The sequence below is a fragment of the Homo sapiens genome, chromosome 6 (assembly GCF_000001405.40).
Source record: "Homo sapiens chromosome 6, GRCh38.p14 Primary Assembly".
NCBI lineage: Eukaryota > Metazoa > Chordata > Mammalia > Primates > Hominidae > Homo > Homo sapiens.
Window position 1 is genome coordinate 82,194,089 of NC_000006.12, and position 19,872 is coordinate 82,213,960.

The window sequence follows — 19,872 nt, forward strand, 5'->3', positions numbered from 1 at the left end:
ACACATTTTGTGAAATTTTAAATACCCCTTCACATGCTCTAAGAGATAAAGTCTATGATTGACAAAATTGTCTTCCTGTGCAGCATTTTTAACCAATACATATTATCTAAGAAATAACTACTGATACTAAGTTTCTCTCTATATACGTAAAACATAGTATTTGCTACTATTCACTGATGATAATACAAAGGCAACTAAATTTTGCCTGGGGTTGGTTGGGGGGGAAGCCTATTATAGCTGGTTAGCAATTTGTAGGTATTTAGGCAATTTTCTGTGCATTAGAAATTTATATTAATATTTCTTAAATGTTCATCATTAAAAAATTAAATTGCATTAAAAATGAATGACATTTCTCAAACTAACAGTTATAGAATAAAATAAAAATCCTACCTGAAAGAACCAGCAACCCAACTGGCAGAGCTGGTAGTATCAATTCTGTTACTGGGAATAGGCTGTGGAGCAGATATTTTAAGTATTGGTGACTTTTCCCATGGTTTTAAATCTTCCCTAGAATACACAGGAGATGTACCATTAACATACGGTTTGACTTTCGCCTGGGGAGAGAAAAAAAATAAAAAAAGTTAACAGGCACCTAGAACAGTAACTAACACATAGCTGGTACTTAATAAATATTAGTTACATTATAATGAAGAATAAAATCTTATGACAATAAGCCATCTAGTATTTTCAAATCATGTTCTTCTACAGTTTTGTGCCTTAGCCAACTCTCAAATCACATTATTGACTATAACTGAATTATTATGAGCTTTGAAAATAATTTTTAGGGAAACTAGTTTGCATATTAAATCTCTACACAAATAGTTAACATGTAATATATAAAAGTTGTACAAATAAGACATGAAGCAGTAATTTTAAAATTAATATCCATGGCTTGAATATGAAACAAAATGAAAGTTTTGTATAAATGTCATATAATTCACTCTGATGTAAAGTACTGTGAATAAAATTAAAGTCAAATAATACTGACACCTTGAAAGGAACCCTAAAACTACTGCTATTGTAATATGTCAAGGAAGTTATTAAAATGATATGTCTATTTCCAGGATAGATTCTTCTGTTATTGTAAATCACTCACAATATACCCTGAGCCTTCCTTTAAACCTCAATTGTCTTACAGACCAACCTTAGTGTGAATATAAATTGCCCCCAAACTTCTATCCTATATTTTAAAAAAAATCAATCCTGGCGGGGTGTGGTTGCTCACATCTGTAATGCCAGGACTCTAGGAGGCTGAAGTGGGTGGATTGCTTGAGTCCAGGAGTTCGAGACCAGCCTGAGCAACACGGCAAAACCCCATCTCTACTAAAAATATAAAAAAATTAGCTGGACGTGATGGTGCGTGCTTATAATCCCAGTTACTCTGCCGGCTTAGGTGGGAGAATCACCTAAGCCCGGGAAATCAAAGCTGCAGTGAGCTGATACTATACCACTGCACTCCAGCCTAGGCAACCAGAGTGAGAGACCCTGTCTCAAAAAAAAAAATCAAATCAATCCTTGAGGCCTAAAAGACTCTAAGAAGAAAGGGTAAACTTCTGTTGTCTTATGAATTCCTAGAAGTTCCGATACGTTTTGTGGATGTGTAGGAGTTACAGAAAAGTGACTCTATCTCTATTCAGTTACACATTTTTCTCTAATAGGTTAACAGCTATGGAATCAAATGTTAAGGAGTGTCTAAGAAATGCCCTCCCCAGAGCTGATTAGGCTAGGAATCCTGCAGCTTAATGTGCTAGATTAGGAGAAGAACTCAAATCATTTCCAAATTGTTTTGCTCCAGTTAATACCCTGGAGGAAAGAGACTGCGAACTTTCAAAGTAGGCTTATTTTCGAAATCATTTGCCTTGACAATTTTTAACTGATGTTAACTGACATTTCACAAGATAAATTTCAATAATTTAGCTACAAATATATTTTTTCAACATGTCTATAGTGTTATTATATTTTACATCAACATTATATTTTAGTTGCACAAAGACTAGAAATAACATCATAAAGGGCTCAAAACTGCCATTACAATCTCTAAAAATAGAAATGTTGTGCAAATTTAAGAAAACTAACACTATATTTGTGATTCTTATATACCAACCTGGAAACTGTTTTAAAATTAGGGCAAAAATAAGGAAATATTAAAGATAAACCATCTATAAATCTAAAATCTGAAGGTAAGGAGGTAGTGCTTCAAAAAACAAACCTCAATCTTATCTGAATGAAATCCTGTTGTGAAATCAGGGGACTGTAAATCTCTAGGACTACCCACTCCTGCATAGCTTCCTTCAGAGTCTGATGTCAACAGTTCTGGAAGAGATTCCACAGAATTGGTCTTACCAGACTTTAATAATCCTAAAACATGAAATTAAAAAAAATTAAACACATATGCATTAAACATATATGCATTACATTCCATGAACCAGAGAGCTAAAAAAGCTTTCATTTATCCAGATTTAATAACATTCAAATTATATTTATGGTATAAAAATCTTAATAATTCAAGTTAACTGGAGAAAGAAATCAGTTTAAGTGAAAAACTGAAATGGAAGAGATTCTAAAACAATAATTTTATTCATTACAATCACACACCAATTGTGTAATGAACCTGAGGAAGATAGTTCTTTGGGATCTGCTCTAAAAAGTGATTTAAAATATTTTTGTCCGCATAAGAGACAAAGGAGAAAGGGAAAATAATTAAAATCCAGACCTCTTTTCCCTTTCTCATCTGTCTCTTGGTACAGTGGTCTCCGCACCCAAGCAAGGGGGTAGCTTCATTCTATGTGGGAGGAACCCTGTGGCCTTTTTGCCTCTCACTTAGCCAGCTGACTGACCCCATAGCAGAGGCTCCCGCAGAAGACAACTGTGGCCTGTTTGAAGTGTGTTTTTCCCTGAAATCTCTGGCTATTGAGAGCTCGCTTGAAGCAAGAGGGTTGTTGTGAAATGTATATATCATTTCTTCTCTTAGGCAAGCTAAATGCCTGGCCTCATGCCACACCTGGTATCCAGGTTCAAACTTTTGCTTAGATTCACATGTCCATTTCCACACATTTCAAATTTATTAGAATCTAAATGAAGTACCAAAATAAGCTATAAAATAAAGATGTTATCTAACTTGTAACTAAAAGCTGTATAATTGATTTAAAAATAAAACCTACCATCTCTTATACATTGTTCTCTTTAAAGTAAATCACCTTAACAAGCTAAATGTTTCTTTTATTGTTATCACTACAATTTGGAAAGAACATTTAAACATTTTTTTTGCCACACAATCTTTTTGAATTTTTTTTTTTTTTTGAGACAGAGTCTTACTCTATTGCCCAGGCTGGAGTGCGGTGGCATGATCTCAGCTCACTGCAACCTCCACCTCCAGGTTCAAGTGTTTCTCCTGCCTCAGCCTTCCAAGTAGCTAGGATTACAGGCATGCACCACCATGCCCGGCTAATTTTTTTTGTATTTTTACTAGAGACAGCGTTTCACCATATTGGCCAGGCTGGTCTGGAGCTCCTGATTTTGTGGTCCGCCCGCCTTGGCCTCCCAAAGTGCTGGGATTACAGGCAGGAGCCACTGCGTCTTGCCTCTTTTTGAATATTTTTAAGGCTGGCAAATTTTCATCGAAGAGAATACATCTAATATTAGAACACTCTCAAAAGTCAGTTAGAAATAAATCCAGAAAAAAAGAGGACAATTAATGTGGCCAACAATTACTTCTGGTCAAAAACAGTTTTGCTGAATGCCGTTTGTCTAACTTTAAGATCGACACAGATGTTAAGCTTTTACGCAACTGTCTTTGATGAAATTGGCCTCATACTCAAATTTTCTTCCTTAACAGGTCTTTTTGGCCTCCAATTAAATCTGACCTTTTAGTTATCTTTGACTACAGATATCCTGGCCACAGAAAGAACAGTACACCAGGAAAATACGGACCTGGAATCAAGAGAACAAATTTTATTTCTTTTGGTCACTACTTCAAATCACTTATGTTTTTTGAGCTTCTTTCCTTAGGTTTAAAGTAAGGGACATAAATTATTTCATTACTAATGTCTCTTCTAGCTCTGAAATTCTAAGATTCTAACACATATGGTAACAATAACATTATTTAAAACAAACCAAATATCTGCTTTTCCATAAGTCATTTAGGTGACTGGAAAGTCATTACTTTCAAGACTGTCTATCCATTATTCATCCTTCCATCAATCCACCCCTGCCTCCTTCTAAACACTAACGGTAATTCATACAACACAGAGAACACAGAGTCACAGAATTTTAAATTTAGAAAAGTCCTAAGATAATAGCTTTCCCATTTACTAGGTCTCCTGATTCCTATTTTCATTGCTTCATAAATAAATTTTAGGCATATTATCTATCCTTTTTTTATCTTTATGTTATCTAAAACTATTCTTGACATTATTCCTTTGAGCTTTAGTGAACATATCAAGCACCTAATTTGAAGCATCTCAGTAAACATAAAAAAAAAATCCTTCTTCTTTGCCCTGCCTAACAAGCTTTTTTTTCCAAAGGGACACAAAACAATGTACTCTTCTATTTTTCAAAGTTGTTTGTATACAGCTGATTGACTATGAAGTACTGTTAGCAGAAACTGTACTAGGTTATGCCTTAGTGCTATAGACAAGAGTAACCTACCATTTCTGAAAGCCATACTGTAGTCTCATTATTTTATAGTCACAATTCATGTTTTATCTAAAGAAACTACTAAAACGTATATAGTTTAATCTAGATCAGATGAATCTAGAATGTGAGACAGTCTATAACACAATTGGACTGACCTTTTGGAAAAGAGAAAACAAAAAACAAAAAAGTACAGCAGTTTTATACTAGTTAGAAGAGACTAAAGAGATACTAATAAGCAAAGATAATATGAACCTTGATAGAATACTAGTTTTTTTGTTAATGTTAAAAAAAAAAGACTATAAAAACATTTGTCAACAATTAGGAAAATGTGGATATGAAGTATAATACTAATTAACACTAATTAATGTCAATTGTCTCAGGTATGATAATGGTATTGTGGTTGTGTAGAAGAGTATTCCCATCTTAAAAGATTCATATTCAAGTATTCGGGGGAAAAGTATCATGTCTACAACTTATTCCAAGTGGAACAATTTTTTTTTAAGTCTCTGTATTGTGTGTGTGTGTGTTTGTGTGTGTGTGTAACACATGGAGGAAAGAGGAGACAGTAAGCAACAAAGAGTCTGCAAGAAAATGCAAATGTGATGAGAAGTTAACAATAAATCTGAATAAAATGTACATAGGTGTTCATGGTATTTTTCTTTCATCTTTTCAGTAAGTTAAATATTCTCAAAAGAAAAAACTGGGGAAAAATATTTTAGAAAAACTACATAACCTGACCTTTACTTTCAAACAGGCTCACATAATGCCTAAATACATTTTATATTCTACTACCAGATTACAACCCCCTTATGCATATGAATGGCATCTTACTTGGAGTACTGACATATTTAAATTGAATCAACATGATAATAGTTATCTCTGTCATGTTTTGCCAACCTCTAAACCCCTATGCCACTGGAAAGAGTAGTCTTTCTAAAAACAAATCTCATCCAGTCACATCCTGTTTTAAATCATCAACAGCCACCCATAGCCTTTAGAATAAAACACAAATTCCTTAGTTTGGCATATAAGAGCCTCCAAAATCTGACCCTATCCAACCTATCTCCTATACTGAACTATATGCACAAGAAATGTGCAACTCTTTCTCTTGCTACTAAGCTTGGGAACACATTGCCCCCTTTGCTTAATATACCTATCTGCCTCCTTTTCTTAGATAACTTCATTCTTCAAGACTCAGCTCAGCATTGCTTTCCTCTAAGAGGACTTCCCTGATCTCAGATTAGTTTGAGTACCTCTTTTGTGCTCCCAGAGCAAACTTCAACTGGAGTACTTACAATAAACTATCACTTTTGGTACCTCCATAAGGACTGTTTATTTCAGTAGCCCCAGCAGATGACATATGTGAATAGAGACATAGAAGATTAGAACTGGAAATACATGCTCACTTTCCACGAACCTGTAGATGATGGACTCTGAATAATATCTGAAAGGTTATAACCTCCAGAACTATCTGAACGTTTACGTGGCTTCTTTTTAGCTTTTGTTTTTGCTTTCTTGAACATAGTTTCCCTAGGAAAAAGCAAACATAATTTCAGCAGTGTTTAGGGAGGTAACTAAGATAAATGCACTTATTTAACCCAACATGTTTAACCTGAAGGCTACTTTTTAAAATATTTACACTTTCAATGTGTTAGACCTACAGATATTAATTATGTATTTACTTTGTATTATACCAAGGTTAAGAATGAGCGTAACTACCTATTTCTTATGTCAGAATTTCTCAATTTCATCTTCCAATACCAACACAAAAGTGTCATATGTCCAAGATGAGAGTGAAGGGACACACTGGAGAAAAGAAGGAAGAAAAGGAGGAAAAGAAAAAAAAAAAAGAAAACAGCTTACGAATGATTTTGTTCCATATTTATTTCTTCTTTCAAGAAGATATCTCCATCTTCTACTTCCAAATAGCTAATATCTGGTCCATCTTGATATGGTGTAATGACTCTTCTATCCATTGCTGGAATCTGCAGAATTGAAGATATCACTTTTCAAATACAAAATCTGTGAAGTTTTTTTTTTTTTTTTTTTTTTTTTTTTGTGCACACGTGGCTCTTGCCATGTTGGCCAGGCTGTTTGGAACACCTGGCCCCAAGCAAACCTCCCATCTTGGCCTCCCAAAATGCTAGGATTACAGGCATAAGCCACCACACCCAGCCTAAAGATGTTTTTTAAATTATGTAAGATATTCCATTTTTAATATGTGGTGACATTAACTAGAACAGCCTTGAATACTCAATAACTTCCTAAATTTACAAGAGGGGGTTAAATTTTGATTCAATTCAATAAAAACTTTATTCCATAAACCTGCCAAAAAGGAAACTTGAGAAAAAGCTCCACTTTATTATTAAAGATAGATTTATTCATTTCTTAGGGATCATATGAATTCATGTTTTTGCACGGTCCTGACCTCTGGTAAATAACAAAAGACTTACTCTGAGGCTTTCAGTAACTTTCATTTATAAAGAAATTAATAAATATTAACTTTATTATTAAGTATCTTGAATTCTGATTATCATATGTATCTGTGAGATCTGTAAAGGAATCCTATATCATCAGTTTTAAAAGATCCTAATGTACTAGAAGTCATTAGGAAACTATTCCATTAATAAGTCTGATCTAATATACTGCTTAAGCTGGTAATATTATAGCCGCGAAAATCTTAAAACATAAACCTTACCATTTTCCGGTAAAACTCAGAAAGATCCTTCAAAACACCATCGCTTAAAACATCAAGAGACCTAAAATATAGGATACAAAATTCTATCTTAAGATTCAAGTGACTTGATAACTGTCAAGTTGCTTACATACGTAGATATTTCATATTGCTAGATAAGTAACAAAGTTATTTTTTAAGCATTATATATAGCAGTTGCTACAAATTCCTTTTGGAAATAGATGTGGTTGTATATTACATATTTCAAATAAACAGCAAAGCAAACATATTACACAAATATCTTGAATAAAACTCAAGCAACTCTTTTTTTTTTTCTTTTTTTGAGATGGAGTCTCACTCTGTCACCCAGGCTGGAGTGCAGTGGTGCAATCTCAGCTCACTGCAACTGCTGCCTCCTGGGTTCAAGTGATTCTCCTGCTTCACACCCTCCCAAGTGGCTGAGACTACCAGGCACACACAATCACGCTCGGCTAATTTTTGTATTTTTATTAGAGATAGGGTTTCACCATCTTGGCCAGGCCGGTCTTGAACTCCTGACCTCAGGCGATCCACCTGCCTCAGCCTCCCAAAGTGCTGGGATTACAAGCATAAGCCACCACACCCGGCCTCAAGCAACTATTATAAATAAATGTACAAAGAATCTTCTCTACTTCATAAGAGTTTCATAAAAATTAACTAAATGAATCTATGTAATGCTTTTAGAACACCGTCTAGCACATAGTTAATAGTCATTACTACTGAAGTAAAATATAAAAATAAACTAAACAATGAAGCTTTAAAATAAAAACTGACACCAGGAACTCTAATCTCAAATTTCTGTGTTCTCATATTGTCACCAATGACTTTATAGGAAGTAAAATATTTTGACCTTATATTTTTAAAAAAGTATACATTTATTTCATTTTAAAAAGATCACTGTTAAAAACATTCAAAAGTTTTCAAGAGCTCTCTAATTCTAAAATGTACATAACTTCTAAATCATCAGCATTGATCAAATTCTTTCCATCCAGGTAAACATCATTATTCACATTTAAATCACTAATAATATCTGCTATTATATATAAATATCTCCTTTTGCAACAATCTTACAACATATGCACCTCACCTACCTTGCTTCAAGTAAAGCTGCCATATTCAATCCTATAAACTGTAAACAAGACAGTTTCAACTGTTTTGCACTATACATTGCTGCAAATTCCAGTAGCATAGCAGCATTCTTCAGGGTAACTACAAAGAAAGAAAAGATTTGCAAAATTAGATAAAAGGCACATTACCACAGCAAAATAAAATACATTTATGTCTAAAGCTGTACGATTTGAACATTTGGAATAAAGAAAAAAAAGTTTCTTGCCAAAAATAAGTTAATACTGGGGCAAATATGTAACTCTTCCATCCCAATATGCCAAAGTAATTTCAAAAGATTGGCTATGAGGAAAAATAAGCTCACACACAAGCATATTCTAAGCAAAACAGAATACAGAAGGGGCATAGTGCCACCCAAAAGCAAACACATAAGAACTGACAATCTTCCACCTAACATTTTCTGAATATTTTTAAAAAGCTTTTATTAATGAACAACTTTCCTTTCCATTTACATAGCAGTTATTCCCTCTTCCATAAAACTAAAAAAGATATAAAACTAAGAAAAACTGATGAAATAATTCTATAAAATATATTGAGTTATCTATCAGAATTCATGTGGGTGTATATATATACATGTAAGTATATAAATATATACATATTTTGAAAATACGTACATCACAATCTTATCATAATATTCTTCACACCAGTGAAAAATCTGATATACTGTGCAAAAGATTCTGGATTTAGTTACAATTGTAGTAACATTATATATAAAGTACCCATTTTCCTAGAGACTCTCCCAGAATATTCTACCTACATAACAGGTAACTTTCAGCTTCCTGTTCCCTCCACTATTTTTCTTAATTACTCTATCAGTACCAGCCAATAGGGAAACACAGTTGTTTTCTACATCTGGCTTCTTGCATTTCTTTTTCTTTCTCACCTGTGATTCTATCAAAAGTTGCAACTGCAGTCAATAATGGTCTCTGTCTCACTCCTGACTAATCTACATTTTCAACTAATGATGAACAGAGAAATTGAAGAAATGATAAAATTAGATCATATAAAAACTTCTTTAGAGTTGTTCACATGGGAACAAGTATCCACATATTCCTAATAATCAGAGACCAAAGGAGGTGGTAGCCTCCTTTTCCTAGGTTCTAGGAACATCAAGGAATTAATAAAGGCAACTGTGCAGCCAGAGCCATGAAAGAACACTGAGGAAGAAGACCAGCAAAGGCAACTGTACAAGTGTAAAATATCACTTATATGTATGTCTTATACCTGTTGTATGCTGTGTCCTTTATTTTAGAATATTTTTCTTTTCTTGCTTAAAAGGAGATCAGGGCTGTTGTTCTCTATTTAATAACCAAGGAGTAGACAGTCTACAGTGCTCAAGAAAAGTGAGAACTAAAATGCCAAAGCCAAGACAAACTCCTAGCAAGTATGAACTAGAAAAAATGGACAGGAATTCCCTTCACACTTCTTGAAGTAGCAGTAAAGCAGAACAGATATAAGATTAGAAAGTCAAAAAGGCTGTCAGGTGGAAGCTAAGGAAAGTTAACCTTTATTCTAGAGTAAGCAATTATAAATATGTAAACAGGGGGAAGATGTAACTACTTCCTACAGAAAGCTTAAAGAAACAGAAGTAGACAGGAGAAAGAGCATTTAAAACACTACTGTGACACTACCCAGAAGGAACAGATAACAGTGACCTCAACTGCATAGTAACAGTGAGAACCCAAAGGTAGGGGAAATGTGACCAACATAGTTAAAAGGAATAAGTTTTGACAACTGAATGAATTTGAGTGTCAGGGCCAAAATAATAAAGAAAAACTCATTTTGGATTTCAAAGTACAGTGTTCAGGAGGATAGCCATGAAATTAACTAAGATAATGAAGAGAGCAAGAAAGAAGAGTTCAAGAAAAAAAGAGATGTGCTTTGTTCAGATATATAATGGGAAAGTTAAATTTTTAAAATCACTGCAAATAGTAGAAAATGGGTAGCTAAAAACACCTAAAGCCAAGATCAGGGCAAGAGTACAAAAATTTCACTTTTAAACTCTCACCCTTGAAATTAGCAAATAAATCTGACACCATCTTTATTCTTCAAGGTTTTATGACATTTCAATACAAATATTACATTTCAATTCTAAGTCATATATATTTTCACATATTTCTAAAATAAGAATTCACTTACAAATGATGGCATGTAATAATTTACATATTTTGGCAGGTTTTCGTGGTACCAAAAAAATGGTCTATTTTACCATAAGTGGAATCATAAAGTCAATAAAGTACAGTAATCCTTGATGAACCTGAAAACATATTAATATTCAAACTCAAAATTACTCACGTTTTTCAGTTAATGCTACTTCACAAATCTCTTTCAACCGGGTTATGAGAAGTTGATCAGCCACCACAAGAACACTACAAATAAAATCTACATTTTGAGATTCTAAAAAAAGAAAGAAAACAAGCATCACTTTTTCTTTGTATACATTATACCTAGAAAAAAAAATTTGAAGTAATTAGTACACTAGAAAAGAGATTTAAGTAAAAAAAAAATTTGAAGTAATTAGTACACTAGAAAAGAGATTTAAGATTATTTTCTAAATGTTGAAAGGGCAACCATAATAAAAAGTAAATACATCAAAATATATTTCTATTTTTTAGGTAGAAAGCTGACAAAATTACACCAAAATGTCTTGATCTCACACTAGGACCATAAAATGGCCAACTTAAATTGATCATTTCAGTCTAGAAGCCCACTAGAATGCCTGACTTGTTTATAATCTCCCATGTTGTTAGAAAAACACTTCTCAAGCTAATACAAAGAGGGAAAAGTCAAATCTCAGCATCACACTTAATATATAAAGGGTGGGGAAATAATGCTCTTATGCTTTCTTATTTAAAACAAAATTTGTCATCTAAGAGTGCTTTTTTGTAACTATTGGACTTCCTTAATTTAAAACAACTTTCTTGGGCCAGGTGTGGTGGCTCACGCCTGTAATCCCAGCACTATGGGAGGTGGAGGCAGACCGACCACTTAAGACCAGGAGTTTGAGACCAGCCTGGCCAACATGGTGAACATATCTCTACTAAAAATACACACATTAGCAGGGCGTGGTGGCACATGCCTGTAGTCCCAGTTACCGGGGAGGCTGAGGCACGAGAATTGCTTGAACATGGGAGGCAGAGGTTGCAATGAGACGAGATCACGCCACTGCACTCCAGCCTGGGCAACAGAGTGAGACTCCATCTCAAAAAAATAAAAAATAAAACAACTTTCTTGGTCCTCAGTACTACTAATGGCTTTTTGCCCCTGAGCCACTGCCAAAATAACAACATAAATTGAAAGAAAAAAATAACAGAGGAAGAGAGGAAAGGGAAAAAAAGATTAAGAAGAAAAAAATCTGACACAGAAAACAGCTTTAAAATATGAGACAAAGATGAAGTCACTAGGAATGACAGACTAAGAGCTTCTAATCCTCTCCTCTAAAAAAAAACAGACAACTGTGGAAAATTGTCATAATCAACTTTTCCAGAATTCTGGAAATCAGCCAAAAGCTTATAATAATCTAGGAAGTGTTTACTTAAGAAAAGCAGTTGAATCTTGTTAAGAACAGTGGGATTCAGGACACTGCAGCCTTTCCTGTTCAGATCTTCCTCTCCCCTCCTCCACAGCAGTACTGAAACCAACAGCTCCATAATCACAGGGAATCACATTGACAGCCTAGTAGCCACAGGAGACAGAACAGTTGTAGAGCAATAGTATCCTTATTTGACCTGTCTGCTAGTTCTCTGAAAATCCCACTAGAATGCTTATCTTTATTTGACCTGACATAAAGCTTGCCCAGTGACAACAGCCTTTTATACGGGGGCAAACAATTAGCAATAAGTAAAGTAAAGATATTGAATTAGTGATCAAAAAACTTCCTACAAAGAAGAGTCCAGGACCAGATGGCTTAATTGGTTAATCTGACTGAATATTTAAAGATGAATAATACAATTGATGAATTAATACAAGATAAATTGATACAATTCTCCACAAACTCTTCAAAAAGTAGAAGATGAAGAACACTTCCCAACTCAGACAAGGAGGCCAATATTATGCTGATTCTAAAAACAGACAGGGACATCACAGGAAAACTAAACCAATATCCCTTACAATTAAAGATGCAAAAATCCTCAAAAAACGCTAAGAAACTAAATCCAGTAACATATAAAAAGGAATTATACAACATGACCTAACAGAATAAATCCAAAACGAAAGGATGATTCAACATATGAAAAATCAATCAATATAATACACAAAAATAAAGTATAATAAACACACGGCCATCTTAAGAAACAGAAAAACATTTGACAAAAATCCCACACCCTTTCATGATAAAAACACTCAATAAACCAGGAATAGAAATAATCTTCCTCAACCTGATAAATGGCAACTACAAAAAACCCACAAGTAACATCCTAATTAATGGTAAAAAGGCTGAATGCTTTTTCCTAACATCAGAAACAAGACAAGGACAACCACTGTTGCCACTTCTATTCAACAGAGTACTAGAGATTCATCTAATCAGGGCAATTAAGCAAGAAAAAGAAATAAAGCACACCCAAATTGGAAAGGCATAAGTAAAACCATCTCTATTTGCAGATGACATGATCTTGCATATAGAAAATCCTAAGGAATCCACTAAAAAAACTACTAGAATTAGTGAACAAGTTCAGCAAGGTTGCAGGATATAAGATCAATATACAAAAATCAATTGTAATTCTAAACACTAGCAAAGGACAATCCAAAAATAAAATTAAAAAAATTTCCATTTAAAATAGCACTAAAAATTCTTAATAATTTTTAACTAAGAAAGAGCAAGGCTTGTACACTGAAAACTACAAAAATCATTGAAAGAAATTAAAGACTTAAATATATAGACTTAAATAAATGGAAAGACAGCTGGTGTTAATGGATTATAAGATTTAAATATTAAAATGACAATAATCCTCAAGCTGATCTACAAATTAAATGTGATTTGTATTAAAATCCCAGCTGCCTTTATTGCAGAAATTGGCAAACTAATCCTAAAATTCACATGAAAATGCAAGAAACCCAAAATAGCCAATACAATCTTGAAATAGCAGAACACAGTAGGAAAACTCACATTTCCCAATTTCACAACTTACAACAAAGCAATGGTAATCAAGACACTGCTGTACTGGCATAAAGAGAGTTCAGTGAAATAGAACTGAAGAGTACAGAAATAAAACTTTAAATTTATTGTCAGTTGATTTTTGACAAAGGTGCTAAAACAATTCAATGGGAAAACAAATGTCTTTTCAACAAATGGTACTCAAAAAATAGGACATACAGATGTAAAAGAATAAACTTGGACCCATAGCTCACAACAAATACAAAAAATAACTTAATAAGAATGGTGGTTACTAGAGGTCAGGGGATTAGGGTAATGGGAAGATATTGGTCAAAGAGTACAAAATTACAGTTATAAGATGAATGAATAAGATCTAGAGACCTTATATACAGCATGGCCACTACACTGATAATAATGTACTGCATACTTGAGATTTGCTGAAGGACTAGATCTCAAGTACTCTCACCACAAAAAAAAAAAAAAGGTAATTATGTGAGGTGACGGTTATGTTAATTAGCTTGATTGTGGTAATTATCTCTCTCTATATATATAAATATAGATATTATACATATATATATCTCAAAGCATCATGTTATACACTATGACTACATATAATTTTTACTTGTTAATTACACCTTAATACGACTGGGGGGGGAATTAACTCAAAATGGATCAAAGACCTACATGTGAGAGACAGAACTATAAAACTCTTAGAAGAAAACATACAGGGTAATCATCATGACCTTGGATTTGACAACGAATTCCTAGATATGACACCAAAAACACAAGTAACAAGTCAACATAGACAATTTGGACATCATGAAATGCCTGTAATCCCAGCACTTTGGGAGGCTGAGGCAGGAGGATCACTTGAGCCCAGGAGTTCCAGACCAGCCTGGGCAATATAGGGAGGCTCTGTCTCTAAAAAAATTTTTACAAATTAACCAGGCATGGTGGTGCACAGCTGTAGTCCCAGTTACTTGGGAGGCTGAGGTGGGAAGGATCACTTGAGCTCAGGACGCCGAGGCTGCAGTGAGCCATGACCATGCCACTGCACTCCAGCTTGCCCAATGGAATAAGACCCTGTCTCAAAAATAAAAAAAAATTAAGTTTTTGTTTTAAACGACACTTCATCAAGGAAGTGAAAACAACTCAGAGAAGGAGAGAAAATACTTGCAAATCATATATCCCATAAGGGACTAATATCCAGAATATATAAAGAACTCTTGCAACATTATAAAAAAACAAATAATTGAGAAAAAAAGTGTCCAAAGGATTTGAGTATGTATTCAAAGAAGATATACAAATGACCAAAAAGCATATGAAAAGATGTTCAACATCATTAGTCATTAGTGAAATACAAATCAAAACCACAATGTTGCATAACTTCACACCCGTTAGGATGGCTATAATAAAAAAGGTTGATATTAGTAAGTGCTTGCAAGGATGTGGAGAAACTGGAACCCTCACACTGTTAGTGGTTAAGTTAAATGGTACAGCTAGCCACTGTGCAGTTCGGCAGTTCCTAAAAAATTAAACAGATGACCCAGCATTTCCGCTTCTAGGTATATGCCCAAGAAAAATGAAAACATAGGCCCACGCAAAAACTTAGGCATGAGTGTTCACAGCAGCATGATTCCTAATAGACAAGAGGTAAAAACAACCCCAACATCCATCAACTGATGAATAAATGTGTTATATCCACACAATAAATATTATTTGGCAATAAAAAACAATGAAGTGTTGGTACCTGCTACAACACAGATAAATTTTTAAAACATCGTACTTAAGTAAAATAAGTTAAATATAAAAGGTCACATGTTGTTTGATTGTATTTATACAAAATGTCCAGAAGAGGCAAATCCATAGAGACAGAAAACATAATAGGGGTTTTCCACGGACTGGGGATAAGAGAGAGTGGGAAGTGTCTGCTAATGGGTACAAGGTATCTTTCTGGGGTGATGAAAATGTTCTAGAATTATACAGTGATGATAGTTGCACAAATTCATAAACATACTAAAAACTACTTATTGTATGCTTTAAAAGTATAAGTTTTATCATGCAAATAATTTCTCGATTTTTAAAAAGAATGAAAGTAGAGAAAAACATACCATGTCTCAGTTATCTTACTCTCAAGTATACAAATCTTCAGAAATTTTGTCCTCAGTTAAACTCTATCTCCTTACAAGACTACCCAGATTTCCTAGGCAGACTCAGAGGCTAGCTTCTTAAAAATGCATCTGCTTTTTAGAGAATTACTCTGTTGGATTATATTTGTTTTCTTATACATTTGTCTTCTCCACTAGATTGAGTTTCTTGAATATAAAAAAAGGTCTATCCACTTATTTTTATCCCCAGTATACAGCTGGGGTTAAAAAAAACTAATGGAATATGACAGAACATCCAGTACCATTCCAATGAGTAAACATATCTTGTAACTAAAAGTTACTGTTTTGCCTAACAAAGTACATAAATGACCTCTCTTCATAAATTTTGGTACAATTTTTAATCTGTTTCTTTCAAGATGTGTAACCACAAAGGGGAAAAACAGGTAAGAAAGAACTTATGTAAGTATTTGTCAAAACTATCCCTGTTGTCAATTCATTCATCTCCATCATAGAAGTAGCTGGAAATTGAACTGCTGAATCTAATTTCAACCATTACCTACAATTCCTTTTTTTTTTTTTTTAATGAAACGCTTCACAAATTTGCGTGTCATTCTTGTACAGGGGCCATGTAATCTCTGTATCATTCCAGTTTTAGTATACTTGCTGCCGAAGCAAGCACTAATTCTCAAAGAGTTCATTTTCACATGGGTAATGAAAACCTTTTTCTGCTCCTTTACTATTAGCAATCATTCCTATTGCTTATTCTAAATTAAGCCTTTATTGGCCAGGCATAGTGGCTCACGCTATAATCCTAGCACTTTGGAAGGCCGAGGTGGAATAATCCCTTGAGCCTAGGAGTTTGAGACTAGCCTGGGCAACATAGTAAGACCCCGGTCTCCATAAATAATAAAAAATAAATTAAATATTTTAAAAATAAAATAAATTAAGCCTTTATTGATGGTTTTTTTCTATTAGAAATTAAGATTCACGTTGATTTTACCATTATTCCATTATATGTGAAGTATCTACAATGTCCTAACTCTTATTAATACCTTTTATCACCACAGCTTCATCAGTATAGAGGTAGTCCAAAATAACTTTTAATATATCAGAATGTATTGGCATTTCCAGAGCTGCACAACTGGAAGCCTAAATAAAATAAGACAAAATAAAGTAAAATAATTCATTCTAAACAATAAAATATTACATTCTAATTTGGGTTATTGGTACAAAACACTCTGAACAGGAAATCACATCAAATGCAAAACATAAAATTTACAAAACACATGGCTAAAATAATATTAAATTTAATTTTAAAACATAACATGAAAAAGGAACAAAAAAATTCAGAAAACAAGAAACACAGTGGTGTTCCTAATACATTTCTAAATAATAACGGGGAAATTTTTATTTAAGTAGCTTCTTGGCAATAATTTTAAATTCTAAGTGTTGCTATTTTCCAGCAGCCTCAAGCATAAAGTTTAATATAAATGAAAAACTGAGCTAAAATATCCAGTTCTGATTTTGAATTTCTTTACTACATACTTTGCACAAAATATAAAGAAACATAGTTACCAACCTAGGCGCTTTTTACTTAAATCTTACCTCAATCCATGAGCTACTCAGCATACTATGAAAATATTCTAAAAGAAAAAAAAGTTCAATGCAATAAGAATAGTGAAACAATACTACAGCAAATAAATCAGCAGCTTTAAAAAGTGCACCTACCAAGTCTAGCACAAAGAACACATTTATGACAAGGAAATTCCTTTCCATCCACTGATTTCATGGTCACGTCACACAGAAATGAACTGCAAGAAAATGTTTAATTGAAGCAAGAGCAATTTCTTTACATATTTAGTGAAAAAGATTATAGGATTTGGCTTAACTTTCAGTTTTCTCTTAAAGGTGGCAGAGAATAAATAACTTGCAGGAATACATACAATAAAATACTTCATCTTTTTCCACCACAGGGAAGATAAGGGCCTTAGAGTAAAGACAATATTTGAAAAGGGAGCCGAATACAAATATTCAAAAAGTATTTTTCTGATTTTCCTTTTTTTTATTCCAGAAAAACTGTTAATAATATAATACTAAGTGATATCATATTTAAGTCTCTGTAATTCACTTATTTGTAGTAGCTAATCTGGGCCAAGCACAGTTGAAACAACTCCACAGTTTATCCTTCTCCAAAACCTTTTCACTTACAGAGGAAGCATGAATAGCTAAAAACAAAACTTTTTTTTTCTTTGAAACGGGGTCTCGTTCTGCCACCCAGGCTGGAGTGCAATGGTGCAATCTTGTCTCACTGCAACCTCCGCCTCCCGAGTACAAGTGATTCTCCTGCCTCAGCCTCCCAAGTGGCTGGGATCACAGGCACCCGCCACTATGCCCGGCTAATTTTTGTATTTTCTTCGTAGAGACAGGATTTCACCATGTTAATCAGGCTCTTGACCTCAGGTGATCCACCTGCCTCGGCCCCCCAAAGTGCTGAGATTACAGGCGTGAGCCACCACACCAGGCCCTAAAAACAAAACTTTTTAACAATATATTTAGAATAGTATATTTATTACTAAGAATTTTTTATACTAAAGGCAATAATCATAACAATGATGAAGAGGTATAATTAATTGGTTTGGGGGCTAATAACATTTCCTAATTATAACAAGGCACAAAATTCAGGCAAGAAAAAATAAAAATTAAAAGTTCCACTCTCTATTAGAAAGTCATCGGAAAGAAAAAACTCCTTTGATGTCTTCAGCAGTTAATATTTTATCAATTTACTTCAACAGCTCCCCAACATTTCCAGAAATGCAGAATACTAGAAAAGGTAAGAGGGTATCTACCTATACATTTTGCTTCATATGTGGGTAAGCAGAGATCTATTTCCACACTTAAGTGCCAAAATCCAGACATGAAATGTTAATCTTCCTTTCCTTACTTACCATTTTTTCTGACTTAGCTTCAGTTTATTACCAGTGTTCTTGGCAATAACATTAATTTTTTCATTTTCAAATCTGACTCCATCTAACCTATCAAGGATAGATAAAAATTAACAATTGATATTCCCCTACAAAAATAAACATACAACAAAAAATCCAACAAATTAGCTTACATCTAAATATAATACTGTATCCTAGAAAAGTATCTCAACAAACTCCTACTCTGAGATAAAGAAATATCATACTTTTTCTTCCATTTTAGTTAGAATTCAAAATAGATTAAACATTACTGACAAAAGACAAATCAAAGCCATAGCACAAAGTTTTTCCTTTTTTTTTTTTGAGACGAAGCCTCGCTCTGTTGCCCAGGCTAGAGTGTGGTGGCATGATCTTAGTTCACTGCAACCTCCACCTCCCAGGTTCACATGAATCTCCTGCCTCAGCCAACCCAGTAACTGGGACTACAGGCATTCACCACCATTCCCGGCTAATTTTTGTAATTTTTTGTAGAGACAGGGTTTCGCCATGTTGGCCAGCTTGGTCTCAAACTCCTGACCTCAGGAGATCTGCCCACCTCAGCCTCCCAAAGTGCTGGGATTACAGGCGTGAGCCACCGCGCCCGGCCCCTTCATTATTTTTAAACAGGAAACACGATACACACCCCTCCTCTCTTCCCACCCTACAACGAAGGTTTAACTGCCACAAGCAACATAAATACCTTAAAAAAAGAAAGAATTTCAAATAATCTGATTCATAATATGATACTATGGTGTTAGGCAATTTACATATGACAAAACCATATCAACAATATGAGGCAAATATTATCTTTCCCATTTCTTATATTGAGAAACTGAAGTAAGAAGGATCGCTTGAGCCCAGGAGTTCGAGAAACTGAGGTAAAAGAAAATTGTCCCAGCCAGGAATAGTAAAGCTAAGAGATATGTATGTCTAACTTGAAAGACCTTTCCAGCATACCACATTGCCTGCCACTCCAGATCCCTGTTACATACACAAACCAGAGTTCAAACCCACCAACAGCTTTCCTATCCATTAATGTAATCCAAGAAGTCCCAGAGATAGCTCTGCCCGCAAATGGAGGAAAGACATATCCATGTACCTCCCCAAAAAAAGGATGGGTAGGGAGAAAGGGAGAGAGAGGAAGAGGAGGGGAAGGAGAAAGAGAAGGGGATGGAACAAGTGGGAGGAGACTTGGGGAGGGGAAAGAAAAGCAAAGCAAGGCAAAAAGGGTGGGATTTT

At 34.2% G+C, this 19,872-nt stretch overlaps 1 protein-coding gene and 1 pseudogene across 2 annotated transcripts in view; both read right to left on the reverse strand.

Annotated features, from left to right (window-relative positions):
- Positions 1-19,872, reverse strand: part of IBTK (inhibitor of Bruton tyrosine kinase) — a 77,758-nt gene that overhangs the window by 24,102 nt on the left and 33,784 nt on the right. The window contains exons 13-23 of one of the 2 annotated variants that reach the window (NM_001300906.2): positions 18,619-18,705; positions 17,402-17,484; positions 17,279-17,316; positions 16,726-16,822; positions 10,769-10,870; positions 8,440-8,557; positions 7,334-7,394; positions 6,499-6,620; positions 6,053-6,165; positions 2,210-2,313; positions 391-554 (exon numbers count right to left, since the gene is read on the reverse strand). In NM_001300906.2, coding sequence (NP_001287835.1) covers positions 391-554; positions 2,210-2,313; positions 6,053-6,165; positions 6,499-6,620; positions 7,334-7,394; positions 8,440-8,557; positions 10,769-10,870; positions 16,726-16,822; positions 17,279-17,316; positions 17,402-17,484; positions 18,619-18,705 — 1,089 coding nt within the window. Of the gene's footprint in view, positions 1-390; positions 555-2,209; positions 2,359-6,052; positions 6,166-6,498; positions 6,621-7,333; positions 7,395-8,439; positions 8,558-10,768; positions 10,871-16,725; positions 16,823-17,278; positions 17,317-17,401; positions 17,485-18,618; positions 18,706-19,872 lie in introns of both variants that reach the window. The other variant, NM_015525.4, reaches the window with a different exon arrangement.
- Positions 16,250-16,352, reverse strand: RNU6-130P (RNA, U6 small nuclear 130, pseudogene; annotated as a pseudogene).